The 14,759-nt window shown below is 39.1% G+C and overlaps 1 protein-coding gene across 4 annotated transcripts in view; it reads left to right on the top strand.

Moving 5' to 3' along the window:
• Window positions 1-14,759, top strand: part of NOTCH2NLA (notch 2 N-terminal like A) — an 80,157-nt gene that overhangs the window by 52,358 nt on the left and 13,040 nt on the right. For all 4 annotated transcript variants that reach the window (NM_001364006.2, NM_001395231.1, NM_203458.6 and 1 more), the window contains exon 3: window positions 11,654-11,913. In NM_001364006.2, the coding sequence (NP_001350935.1) occupies window positions 11,654-11,913 (260 nt within the window). The remainder of the gene's footprint in view (window positions 1-11,653; window positions 11,914-14,759) is intronic.

Below are 14,759 nucleotides of genomic sequence, written 5' to 3'. Positions count from 1 at the left end.
GGAAGTGAGAAGTAGTGTACTATAGCATTTTCTAGGAGCTGAAAGGCATTTAGCAAGAGTATAGCGCATAAAGGAGAGAGCTTGAGATGAAACAATTTCTCAGTGTGTTGTTTGAATACAATGTATACTGTCAAAATCTAAGAATTCAAGAATCATTTAATATATCTTTATGTTTTACTAGTCATAAAAGCATATACATATATTTAAATATGGACAAGATACTGTTTAGTAGTTTAGAAAGTGATTTATGAGGATTGCAATCCCTTGCAATAACTCCACAGCCCATACCTTGGGAACAACTGAGCTAACTCATTCAGTTTTGTCCATTACATCGAAGGGTGTTTTTTGTAAACTCATATGTCTAGAATGTGTTTGCCATGTTTTAATCACAAGTAGATATTTTCTCAGAGTCCAGTGCAGTGAAGTATGGTAAGATCCTGATTGTGTTCTGGAACACAGAGGAAAGACCACCTTCTGTTATAGCAACAACACAAGTCTTTTAACACTGTGTGCCCCTTCCCAATCTTTCAAGTGATGATTGAAGAGACTAGGTGCTCAGCTCAGCCTTTGAGTTCTGATAAATGAGCCCAGACTGTAAACTGGAAGATAAGGATGTTTGTAAAGTTCTTGTATAAATAAAGCATGGTTTCTCATTGCAGTGGTTACTGATTTCATAGTCTGAGTGAAGATGAATGATGCTGTGAATCAACAGCTTTAAAGTCCGTACCACTTCAGCTTCTTTTTGGTTTAGGTTTCTTAAAATCAGTGTGTATTTAATGCTTTATTCAGATGAGGGGGTGAAAAACCTAACACATGTAAACTAAGTGAGGTGGGGTTTCAGAGATAATTCCCAGCCTCACAATTCCTCATGAAGTTCTTTTCCTGTGGGAAACTTTTAATTTGGAAGCATGCAACCTAATGTGGGAACCAAGATTAACATTTTCTGAAATACTTCTACAAGAAAAGCAGAAATGGTCTGTCCAGGAAGCTGAATTTACATAGTAGAAAAATGAGCTGCCCTGCAGTATTTGGTAGTCTTTGTGTATTGGTTGTGATAAAAGTGTGTATGTGTGTGTGTACGTGTGTGAGAGTGAGAGATTGTATACTTGTCTTTGTTTCCTTCACATACAACTAGTAAGGCCCTAGAAAAACTACACTAGAAAGTGTGTTTTACCACAAGCGTCCCAGTTCTGGACACCAATCTATACACAAATACTTTTTTTTAAAGTTCTTTTTGTTTTTCCTTCTTGCTGAGTAAGCTATAGTATTTCCTTTTTTTTCTTTCTTTTTATTTGAGAGAAGGGGGGGTTGAGAGTAGAGTGGGAATGGCAAGAAGTAGTATGACAGAGCTTCTTCTCTTTTTTTCCCCTCTTTACCAGGAAGTTAACTAGAAGTCTTCATGCATGTTTTTAAAACAAAGTTGGTAATTAGCATAACCTAGTTAGTTACCTTTACACAGAGTGACAGAATTAAAAAGTTGACAAGCCCATCAGACCTCAGCCAGGAGGTACTGAAAGGAGGGAGACCAGTGAGTCTAGACCAATAGGTGGGTTAGGCCTCCTGAATGCCAGCCTAGAAGTTTAGACTTGATTCTATAGGCTCTAGGGTACCTACAAGTTTGTAGTCGCAGCCTTGGGAATTGAATGTTACATAGGAACTTTCACTGGTTCCAGCTAGCCTTGGCTGTTAGCAATTATTTTTATCTACTTTAACAGGGGGGACAGAGTAGGGGGGCAGGAAACTAAGCTGGCATTATGGTCACAGGAAAGAACAGACTGATTTGGAGCCTTTCAAACTGCAGACCTTTGTTACTGACCGATGCTTAATTTGGTTTCTGGGTTTTGTTAGTTTTTTCCCCTGCCCTTACCTCATTTACCTTAACGACAGCTCCCCCCTCTAGAGCTCAGCTAGGGCAGGCTGCCACTGTGGATTGGGGGGCCAAGAGGCCCAGTGCAAGAAGAAAGTGGGTTGAAAGCAGAGTTCTGTTTAAAGAATTTTCTGCTGGAAACTAGCCCAGAGGGAGTAAAGAGGAGCTTTAATGAGGAGCAGCTGCAGTGCCGACGCAACCCACATGAGACTTTTTTTTCCCCTTCGTTCCACATTCTGTATAGTTTTTTTAAAAATCATGACTTTGAAATAGCTGTTTTGTAAAGCATGCCTCTCTTTTTCTTCTTGTATGTGGTGGGATTTTGCTTTGTTGTTGTTGTTGTTGTTTCTTGAATGGCCAAATCCTCGTTTTAAAAAAAAAAAAAAAAAAAAAAAAGCTAAAGACAGAGCTGCAGCAAAGCCCTGGATGCAATTTGGCCTCACCCTGCTGATACAGAACATTCGGTGGAGAAAACAAGGGGAGAGAACACTGGCTTTTATTTGGAAAAGGGGCTTATTTCCTGCTCAGACTTCAGTCATCTTGGAGCTGACACAAGCTGCTACACTGTTTTAAGCTTTTCTGTAGACGAGTGGCTATTCACTTAGGAAACGTGAAAGAACAAATTTTTCTGTCCTGTATTACTAGAGAGACTGATCCTGAACTGCAGCCATTGCCAGATAGATTGGAATTGCTATTCAGATCCCAGCTTCGTTGAAATCTGTAAAGTGGCTACATGTAAACTAATCCAGGCTGCTAGTGAGATGTGAGGGTTGGGGTCTGGTTTTCATCTGCTTAAGTGAGAGGAAACTGTAGGGGTATCCTTCAAATGGAATGTTTTCTAGTTCCATTAGGAGGAATCCCTTGTTTTTCTCTGTTTTCTTCCTTCCTTTGCTTTTCTACATCCAACCCCATGCGTATGTTTGAACAGTAACAATGGAAATGTGGACCTCTCAATGTCAGAAATGACACTTTTTTTTTTTTGAGATGGGGTTCTCACCATGTTGCCCGTATTGCCTAGGCAGGTCTCGAACTTCTGCTCTAGCAATCTGCTCGCCTTGGCCTCCCACAGTGCTGGGATTACAGGTGTGAGCCACTGTGCCCAGCTGAGACTTTTAAAGAAAAAGTCATAAATATATCTTTATGGACCTGGTAAGTATTCAGATTAGTTTATAGAGTTTAAAATGGAAAAATGCTCCCCAAACCTTTCTCTGTATTCACAACCTCATCTGCGAAGTATGTTCTTTCAGAGTTCCAATGCTAGAGAAGAGAGAGTAAGTAGAAGTCACTGAGAGACATTGAAGAGACAGTTATGAAAATAATTAATAAACTCCCTACAGGAGGGAAACATTCATATAGTTTTGCGGATGAAAGGCATCTGTTAGATTTTTGTGGTTATTTTTTAGAATATACACCTTTAGTTCAAGTGGTAGACTATTTTCCAAAATGTGTGCTGGGTAGCTTAATGGAATTATAGATACGTAAGGGATGTTGGGTGTTTAGCCATGTTTTCACTCTCTAACCAAATTCAACTTTAGCCATCTCAAGAAGACAGCTATTTAAGCCCTTGTTTTCAAGCAGAGAACCTTACTTTCCACCAAGACTAACAGAGTATATTTTCTCCTTATACCACAGTTGAACAGGGATTTGCAAGTTGAAAGATCTCCTGCCTTAGGAAACAAGGGTCTGTTATTTCTGACTGTCTTAGCTATTACTCCCCTTTCTTCCCATGTCCATAATGCTGCTTAGCTTCCTGGGGTGTGAAGGATAATTCTATACCTCAGGATGACTATTAGGTTGATTTGGCCTGTTATTCTACCAGACAGATCACAGAGTAGAGATGGATTTTGTGGAACATTTGGATTGAGAGACTGACTTTATCCATCACATGAAATTTAGCCTGCTTTGGAACCAGCTGCTTAGTGGGGTTTATGTACTCAGGTATTCAGGGAACCTACACCAAGGGTTCAAGACAGGGTCTTCCCCACAAAAACTATCTAGATGGGAGTTTGAGAAAGGTACAGCAAAGACATAACAGTGGCTTAAATAAAGAAGAACCATACCAGCGGAGACAATGTAGTGCATGACATGGCACTACATCTGCTGTTGGAAGGATCAGAGACAGGTGGGATGATTTGTAGAAGGCTTACTATAGGACAGGTTTACAGCAGATTTTTGAAAAAAGGGTGGAAGAAAGGAACCTAAGTTGGAGATATACCAGAAGGGAAGCATGATGTTTCTCACTGGAAATTAAAAAGATTTCAATATAGGGGACAGTAAACAAGATTGTGGAAATAATATGGAGTGTTCGAGTTATGGATTACTAAAGAGTAAGATGGTTAGATGATTGGAATGGGACAGACAAGCAGATCAGAGATTGTAAAGAACTTGGATTTGAAAGGCTTGGTATTAATACTGTTGCTAGTTTCTGAGCAGAAGAATGACATGAAAATTATGCTTAGGAAAGATTATTCTTTTAGTCATATGCTTAGGTTCAGCAAGGAATTTCCAGACTGTCCTTAGGGAGAGGAGAGGTATGGATAGGATGCTGGTCCATTTAGGATGTTAGAGCTGATTGAATAAGTGCTAGTCTTGGGGCAAGACTTAGTCATACACTTTCAGTTAAGTACTGTTTCATTGCAAGGTCTAGGTGAAGATAGGGATATATTTGTAAAACTGGGGAAATTGCTAGATTCACAGATAACCAACTTTGGGTAGATCAGTTAGCTTTGGTGTCCTTCTCAGTGCTATAGGGGTTCAGACCATTTGGTTTCTGAGATCACTGCTGAAATTCTGTGATTGTATGAGTATAATGTAAAAGTTGTCTCAATCAAGGAAACTTGGAGTAAAGACTCAATATGATGGATTTAAAAGGAATGAATGATAGTTCCAATTATTGGGTTCAAAAAACATGTGCTACAAGTATAAGATGAGAAAAATAGGGTACACTAGTAGTTCATGTGAAATAAGGCTCTGAATATTTTAGCTGAGTGTGTATTCCATAGCACATAGTAGTATTTTGTGGCTTCTAAAAAAGTACACATATCCATTGGGTATGAGTCGGAGCGTTATTCTTTCTTGAACTGCGCTCTCACGATGCCTCCTCAGTTTAAGAACTTACTCTGAAATAGTAAAAGCATAGTGTCCAGATCAGGAGGTCATGGTTCAGCTCTGTGCTGCACTGGTAAGAACATGTGTTAAGCCTTTTTCCATTTTGAGCCTCACTTTTTAAAGAGGTTTTTGATGAACTGGAGTCATCCAGTGATGGGGAGGCAGGATAGCCTAGTGTTGAAGCACACGCACTCTAGAGTCTACTTGGGTTTGAATCCTGCCTCTTCCATCTACTAGCTGTGAATTTTTTTTTTTTTTGAGAGGGAGTCTCGCTCTGTTGCCCAGGCTGGAGTGCAGTGGCGCGATCTTGGCTCACTGCAACCTCCAACTTCTGGGTTCATGCCATTCTCCTGCCTCAGCCTCCTGAGTAGCTGGGACTACAGGCGCCCGCCACCACGCCTGGCTAATTTTTTATATTTTTAGTAGAGACAGGGTTTCACTGTGTTAGCCAGGATGGTCTCGATCTCCTGACCTGGTGATCTGCCTGCCTCGGCCTCCCAAAGTGCTGAGATTACTGGTGTGAGCCACCGCGCCTGGCCTAGCTGTAAAATCTTAATCTTTCTAAGCTTCGAGTTCCTCATATATAAAATGGAGATTATAATATAGCACTGGAGCGAGTAATACAAGAGACAATAGCTATCAAATGCTTAGCAAATATACAATACATAGTTAAGTACTTAGAAAATATGTTTTCAGTTACTTCGGGTATATACCTGGGAAGGGAGGCAGAAAATTTTGGTCATTCTGATTATTATTACTACTGTTAAGCATAGAAGCACCACTAAAAAGGTGAAGAAGCCTGGAAATAACCCTATACTGAGGAATATGCCAAACCATTGAATCCTGGAAAAAAGAAAACAAAAGGCCCACATAACTATCTTCAGATTCTTGAAGGGCTACGTGTAAGAGAAGCAGAAGGCTTGTTCTTTTTTGTTCTAGAGGGTAGAGATAACCTGGAAATTGTAGAGAGACAAAGTTTGTTCTTTTCAAAGTTAAGACATAATTTATGTATCATAAAATTTACCCTTTTAAAGTGTTTAATTTAGTAGACTTCAGTATTTCCAGAGTTATGAGACCACCACCATTATCTAATTTCGAAACATTTTTATCACCCTGAAAGAAATTCTCTACTGCTTAGTAGTCACTGTCTATTTCCCTTTCTTTACAGCTCCTGGCAACACTAATCTACTTTCTATCTCTACGGATTTGCATATTCTGGACATTTCATATAAATGGAATTATATAATATGTGGCCTTTTGTGTGTGGCTTCTTTCACTTAGCATGTTTTCAAGGTTCATCCATGTTGTAGCATGTATCAGAATGTCATTCCTTTTCATGGCCACATATTTCATTTATGGATATACCACATTTTATTTATCTGTTCATCCGCTTATAGGCATTTGGGTTGTTTCTACTTTTTAGCTATTATGAATAATGCTGCTATGAACATTTTTATTATCTGGGCATATGTTTTCAGTTATCTCGGGTATATACCTAGGAAGGGAGGCAGAATTTGAAGAATTAAGAAAGAGCTTTCTCACAGTGGAATCCACCCACATTGAAGACTGTTCTTTTGTTGAAGTAGTCAGCCAGTAATTTCACTTAACAAATGCATAGTGTTTACTATGTGCTGGATAGTGTTCTAAGTGCTTTACCCTTATTTAAAAATCCTATGAAGTAGGCACTGTTATTACATCTCTTTTACGACAGGGAAGTTTAGTACCTTGCCCAAGACTACACATTGAGTAAATGGTGGAGTTGGGATTGAAATCCAGGTGGTCTGGTTCCAGAGTCTGTACTCTTAAGAGCAGAACAATAATAACTCCAAGCATTTATTAAATTCTCAAGATTTATCCGGCACCATGCTACATGCTTGTATTCAAGCAGAGGCTGGTGATCATCTTTTAGAAATATTTTAGAAATGATTACTTAATTGGATAGAAATTAAATTTCTTGAATCTGAAGGTTCTGTTATTCCAAGGATGGCTGGAAATGGGGGAAAAGCCAGCAACAAGATGATGTCTGGCCTGAGGCTTTTAAGATGATCAGAATTTGTATCAAAAAGGAAACTGTGAACACGAATGATAAGTATTATAGGAATTCAGTTAACAAGTCTTGTCAGAATGTGGTAATAAATTATATACAACTTAAAGAGATGAAGTTACTTTAAATTGTGTGTGGAAGCCTTAGAAAAATTGAATAATTAAAGTTTCTTGGGAAGATGATCTCCTTTTACAAATGTTTAGTTTCAAATAGTGGCAGCACATATTAGGATAGAGAGATGACTTCTAGAAAACTGAACATATGGGACTGGAACAGTGTATTTTGGAGTCAGTTACAGGAAGGAAGTTGTTTAAAACCAAGTGAACAACAACAGTAACAAATGCATTTGAGAGAAAGAGCAGTGCAGTCCAGACTTAAACATTAGGGTGGCCATAATAGATGGGGAAGAAGGAGAAATCAGCAATCCAGACTAAGACTTCACTGGGTTTTGAGTTAGACAGAGGGAGGCATAGAAGCCAAGGTAAAATGATTAAAACGGTACATGGAGTGGTTAGCAATTCTCCCTATAGGAGAGAGAATTTCCTTATGAAGTTTCAGATGAGACCACTGAACTTGACTAGAGGAAAGTCATTGTTTTTAGAAAACAGTTTCTAAACAATAATTAGAATTAAAGTTTTGTTGCAGAGGGATAAGTAAGAAGTAGATGGAAAAGAAAGAGGAATATCTGAAATTAGGCTACAGTCATAGAAGGTTAGCTGTGAAACAATAATTTGGAAAGGGAAATGGGACCTCATGAAAGTGTGGGTTAAAAGAGACTTGTATATCTTCTAAGGTAAAAGTAAAGAACTAAGCTGATGTCCAGCCCTCTAAAACATTTTAAATAGAAATCAAACTTTATTAATACAGTAGGTCTAGTTTCACGTAAAGCAAATATATGGTTCTGTACACGGGCTTTAGGAGAGTAAGTCTGTTGTACCTCATATGTAAGTATTATCCCATTTAGAGGAAAACCCTAAGTCTTTCTTTACAGTGGCTTAAAGGCCCCAATTGATCCACATCCCAGTTACAGCTCTCATCTATTTTCTGCTGCTCCAGATATTCTTGCTGTTTCTCAAACACGCTAGGGCTGCTCTCTGTGTTATGGCCTTTGCATTTGCTGTTCCCTTTCTCATGAATGTGTTTTCCTAAGATACCTGCATGATTACTCTCACCTTATTTAGGTCTCAACTCAAGTATTGTCAGTGAAGGTCTTCTCTGATTTTCCTATTCTAAACTGAGATACTTCTCTTTGCTCACCCCACACCCTCATCCCCAGCTCCATTCCTTCCTGTTTAATTTTTTTTCACAGCACTTAACTCCATCTATTGTGCATCTTTTACTTAGTAATTTTGTTTTCGTCTTCCGCTATTAGAATGTAAACTCCAAGAGTGTAAGAATTTTTCTAGCACTGGAAAAATGCCTGGCACATAATAGGCATTTACTAATTGTTGTGTGAATGAACGATTATAAGTTTAATATTCTTTGTGGAAACTAATAAGGTTGATTTCCTATCAGAAACCGATCATTATTAATAAGCATATTGGATGGTATTTATAGAATTAGCCTTCATATGTTCTCTACTCAGAAGTTGGCAAACTTTTTCTGTAAAGTGCCAGAGAGTAATTATTTTTGCAGGCTTTGTGGTCTCATTACAGCTACTTGACTCTGTTGTTGTAGTGGAAAATCAGCCATAGACAATCTATAAATGAATGAGCATGGCTGTGTTCCAGTAAGACTATTTATGGACACTGAAATTTGAATTGTATATAATTTTGAAATGTCAGAAAATATCCTTCTTTTGTTCTTTTTTTCTAATCATTTAAAAATGTAAAAAACTATTCACAGGCCAAACAAAAACAGGCAGTGGTCCAAATTAGACTTGCAAACTGTACTTTGTCAATCTCTGGTTTTACTGATTTCTTAAATATATCTTAGGTTAAAACTTATTTTTCCATACTTGATAGGGAGCAACAATGTGAATTAAACTGTAGAAACAAATAATTCAGAAATACATCTGTTTAGCTTTAGAAACTTCCATTTTGCTTCATTTTTGTTTTCCTGGGAACCTTATATTTCCATTATATGTTTATGATGCTACCATTTAAATGACTTTGCATTCTCTTAGCATATGCCACATGATAGTGTTAGGGTGGTGTAATAGTTCAGGAGCAAAGCTGAGCAAAGCCCACCCACGTTTAAAAATTTGCCATTATTTAGAAGGTGCATAATTCCCATATGGGAGAATGAAGAGTCATCTAATAATGCCCAGAGGGCTGCACTGTGAGTGAGAATTGTGTTGCAGTTTTTAACATTCATAACACATTTCTTGAATAAGCTGCAAATGCTTTTAATAATATATCTCAGAGTTAATTTTAGCTATGCTACATTGGCACTTTTTGCTCCTCCACTTCAAAAAACCAACACAAGAAACTATTCTCAAATCAAGCTGTGATTTGGATGGGGCATTGTATTTTCCTCAATAAGCACAAAGAAGAGAGAAAAGATGTTTTCACTTGGCAAAACTTTTTTTTTTGAGATGGAATCTCACTCTGTTGCCCAGGCTGGAGTGTAGTGGCACAATCTCGTCGGCTCACTGCAACCTCCGCCTCCCGGGTTCAAGCAATTCTCATGCCTCAGCCTCCCGAGTAGCTGGGATTACAAGCGTGCACCACCACCCTGGCTAATTTTTGTATTTTTAGTAGAGCCAGGGTTTCACCTTGTTGGCCGGGCTATTCTCAAACTCCTGACCTCAGATGGTCCTCACACCTCAGCCTCCCAAAGTGCTGGAATTACAGGTGTGAGCCACTGTGCCCAGCCCACTTGCAAAACTTTTTAACATTTATAAGGTTTTTTACATACTTGATTTTGTTCAGTTCTTAGAATAATCTCATGATGTAGGTGACCTTATTAACTATTTACAATGTGAGAAAATGGATAGTCAATGAAGATAAGTAACTTGTCCAAGGTCACAGCACCAGAACTCCAAACCAGACCTTCTGACCTTCTTGATACAGACTCCTCACAGTCACCTGCATGCCATCTTTGGTTTCAGTGCTATGAACTTTCTTCACTGCCTGTTGGTCTGTAGCTACACCTACTCATGAAGATGCCCAGAGCCTTAGCCGCTCCTTGCTCTGCCATGCTTATCTTATGCAGCTCTGGGAGGGGTGAAGAGGCTGTGGCCAGTTACCTCACTACCACTATAGCTATTCACCACCCTGTTTTCTCCTTTAGCCATTTTAGCTACTACACAATTCTTCTGGGCATTTTCTGTCTTAGTTCCCTAGTATCTGGCCTTCCCTCTTTTCTCAGTAACTGTGACCCCTGCTAGCTAGCCTTGCCAACCAATGGTTAATGAAAGGTCTTGGATATGACTGTCAAAGACAAAAGCACTCATGACCCCAATGTTTCAGGTCACAATGATTAGGAAAATCAGGACAACAAGGCTTGGGCACAGAAAAGCTGGTTTTTGAGAGGGGGATTTAGAGTTTGGTTTAAATGTGTAATCTTTGAGGTAATGGTGGAACAGCCTACTAGATTCAGTTTTCTAGTCCCTGAAAACTAAAACGAGGAATAAGTTGAATCACATATTTGGGGCACCAGCCAAATATATAGCAGCATTTATAGTTAGAATCAAAGTGTTTGTGTTTCTTAATTTAAATGCTTCTCAGAGATTCCATTTAAACAACTTCATTATGAAAATGGAGACTTACCATGCCTTTTTGATATTGTTCAGAGAAAATTGTCATAAATAATACACACAGTTTGAAATGGTTGTACATCTTATGAATCAAGGGGTGGCATGTAAAAAGGTTCCTCAGTGCCTCAATGTGGAAAATATCATAGAATGTTATTCTTCAATTGATTCCTTCCTTGACTTTGGTGTTTATATGGTATCTTAGATATTTTATGTTATTTTAATTATATTTTGTGTCTTTTTATTTGGTTAAAAATGCCTACTTAAATATTAACAGATTTTTAAATATCCCTTTGAACTCTTCCCCATTCCTGTACCTCCTTTCCCTTTTTCCGTTGTAATGTCAGCCACCTGAACATAACCCAGAAAACTAGGTATCATCCAATTGATGTTTCAGTGGAAATAAGAGAAAGAAGCACTTACTATTTCTCAATGCTTAATTGAGGAAAAGCACATGATATCTTACATATTTTAAATTGGAGGGGATAATAGGGTCAAGTTCATGCATTATATTGTGGACATCTTAATCCTATCAAATGGCTTAGTCAAAATGAGAAAGTTAATGAATTTAAGCAGACAAGTACGAACAGTGCTCTAAAAAAGGTGCTGTTACACCATCCCAACCTGTACACACATGAAAAAAAGCTGGGGTGCATTTTGCGTTTGAATAAGGGTCATGTTGACTGGCCATGGCAGACCCTGCTAGACCATACACCTGATACTCTGTCACCTGCCAGGACTCAAAAGGACATGGGAGTATGTGGTTAAGTTCTCTAAGGACTCTTTCTTCTAAAGGGAAGCAGTTTTATAGGTGGTCCTTGTAGGTCTGTTGATTCACAATCTCGTGCTTTCTTGATTGGACTGTATTGTTTTACTGTAATTTTTTGGACTTACAAGAAGTCAGGTGTTTTCATGGACTCTTCTCTTTTCCATACAGATGTCCAGAAGGCTTCTTGGGGGAATATTGTCAACATCGAGACCCCTGTGAGAAGAACCGCTGCCAGAATGGTGGGACTTGTGTGGCCCAGGCCATGCTGGGGAAAGCCACGTGCCGATGTGCCTCAGGGTTTACAGGAGAGGACTGCCAGTACTCGACATCTCATCCATGCTTTGTGTCTCGACCTTGCCTGAATGGCGGCACATGCCATATGCTCAGCCGGGATACCTATGAGTGCACCTGTCAAGTCGGGTTTACAGGTAACTAATGAGACCAAAGCCAGTGCTTTCCTACCTTCAGCAGATACCTTTATTTAGCATCTTTTAGATCATGGTGTCTGGCTCTTAAATGTCCCCCAGCTCTGGTGCACATTTAACATTATGATAAGGAACTGGGATGTTCCAGACAACTATCCCTAACTTCCTTTTAAGAGTTTCAGGGGGCAGAGAAAGAGAAAGAAAAAGGACCAAATACTTTGACTGCTTAAAGTATATATGTCAGGGCCAGGTGCGGTGGCGCACGCTTGCAATCCCAGCATTTTGGCAGGCCAAGGCAGGAGGATCACTTGAGGCTAGAGGTTTGAGACCAGCCTGGGAAACATAGCAAGACCCCATCTCTACAAAAAAACAAGAATAAAAATAAAACAAAATTAGTCATGTGTGGTGGTGTGCACCTGTAGTCCTAACTACTTGGGAGGCTGAAGTGGAAGAATTGCTTGAGCCCAGGAGTTTGAGGCTGCAGTGAGCTATGATCGCACCACTGCACTCTAGCCTGGGTGACAGAGTGAGACCCTGTCTCAAAAAAAAAAATATGTACACCAGGATGGGGAATCAGAGTTTACTTCACTAAAAGAAATAAGTACACTGTCACCAGAGGAAAAGTTGCTGATGTTATTGACTATTTGCTTTTAGAAATCTCCCTCCCTAGACATTCAGGGCACTGGCTTTTCTGGTTTTCTGAACCCTGTTCCTTTTGCTTCTTCATTACCTTGTTCTTATCCATTAAATGTTTGTGCTCCCTGGAGCACTGTTTTGCGCCCTCTTTTGAGCCACATCACAGCTCTCCCTAGGGAATTTCACTGTCTGTATTCGCCTCCACTGCCACTGTCTTCATTAGCTTGCTGATGAATCTCACCATCATTCCCTTAGCTCCACCCAACCCTGACATTCAGGCTCATGTTTCTAGTTATCCTTTGTATGTTCTCCTTGGAGATATTCTACAGGTACTTTCAGCTCACCTTGTTGACAGAAATACGTAGCAACCATGTACATCCCAAATACCCACGCTAGAAACTCCCTGTCCCTTGTTCTGACCTCATTTCAACTCAGTCACCCAAGCCAACCTCTGAGTTGCCTTTCACCTGTCTATTCCTCCCATTTCCTCTGCTACCCTGTAGTTGAAGGCCATGTTATCTCTCACCTGGGCTTCTGAAGTAGTTTCTGAATACGTTTTCTTGCCTTTATTCTCTCCCCATCTCATTCACCCATGATATTACTACATCTTTGATTATAAATGCAAATATTCTAACAATCTCACCTGCTTACAATGTCTAATATTTTTTCATCATCCGCAGAATAAACTGCAAACTCTTTTACATGACTTCCATAGCTCTCTACAGCCTAGACTTTACATCTTTTTATAGCCTGGCCTCCCCACAAGCATCTAGGCCTAGTCACACCAAATTCTCCTTATTTCCTGAAAATGTTGTACTTATTATTGCTTCCATACAGTTACACACCCTTTTGCCTGGAATGCCCTTTTCTACAACTGGTGATTGTCCAATGTTATTTAAAACTGTGTCTCAGTGACCCTTTCATGATTCCTTTAGGCAAATGGTCTCTAAGTTTTATTAGTTTTATGTATCACATTTTATTGTAATTTTTTTTACACATATCTCACCTGAATAGATTGTGGGTTTTTCTAGGTGGGTCTGAGCTTTATTCAAAAGTGTTTATTAAATTAGATGAGAAAAGGAGGAACATTCTTCATTTTTTCTCCTGCTTTAAGCACTAAACCAAGAGTTCTATAAATGCAATAAGCAAAAAAGTGAAAAATGTACTCAGAAGACTATACTGGATCAGTTAGTGTAGAATACTGTTATATTAATTTTTCATTGTATTAGGGTTCTCTAGAGGGATGGAACTAATGGAATATATATGTATGTATATATATTCCAACCCAAAGTGTCTTGGTGGCAATCTTAATATATATATATTGGCAATCTTTATATATATATAAAGGAGAGTTTGTTAAGTATTAATTCACATGATCACAAGGTCCCACAATAGGCTGTCTGCAGGCTGAGGAGCAAGGAGAGCCAGTCTGAGTTCCAAAACCGAAGAACTTGGGGTTCGATATTTGAGGGCAGGAAACATCCAGCACGGGAAAAAGATGTAGGCTGGGAGGCTAGGCCAGTCTCGCTTTTTCATGTTTTTCTGCCTGCTTTATATTTGCTGACAGATGATCAAATGGTGTCCATCCAGATTAAGGGTGGATCTGCCTTCCCCAGCCCACTGACTCAAATGTTAATCTCCTTTGGCAACACCTTCACAGACACACCCAAGATCAATATTTTGTATCCTTCAATTCAATCAAGTTGACACACTCAGTTTTAACCACCACAAATCTACCCCTTGTCAACTTGAACCCGTACACATCTCCTGAGATCACACATAATCTTCAAATAAAGACAATAATTAGGTCATAATTACACCTGATGTAGTACAACTATTCTTCATACATCCGGAAACACACTAGTCCCCAACTGAAACACTCTTACATAAAGTTAACGATACTTAAATGCTGATGTGAAGTCAATAAATCTTATGTCACATGATAAAGGAGAAAGGAAATAAAATGAAGATATTTTCTTAGTACAAGTGTGTGCAAGCACAGACATGTTTTTAATAAAAGAAGGAGGAAATACTGAGGACAATTACAGTCCTCATTTCTGCAGCTGGTCACATGGTAGTAGCTGGTATTGATGACTACCTTCTTCTACCCATTTTGTATTCCTTTTGCCTTCAGCAAACACCTCAGCAGGTTGTGTTTTTTTTTTTCCTGATGGAGAGGCCCAAACCATTTGTAGTCCCGCCTGGATTGGGCT

The sequence above is a fragment of the Homo sapiens genome, chromosome 1, assembly GCF_000001405.40.
Source record: "Homo sapiens chromosome 1, GRCh38.p14 Primary Assembly".
In the NCBI taxonomy this organism is placed as follows: domain Eukaryota; kingdom Metazoa; phylum Chordata; class Mammalia; order Primates; family Hominidae; genus Homo; species Homo sapiens.
This window is presented reverse-complemented; position numbering and strand designations above follow the sequence as displayed.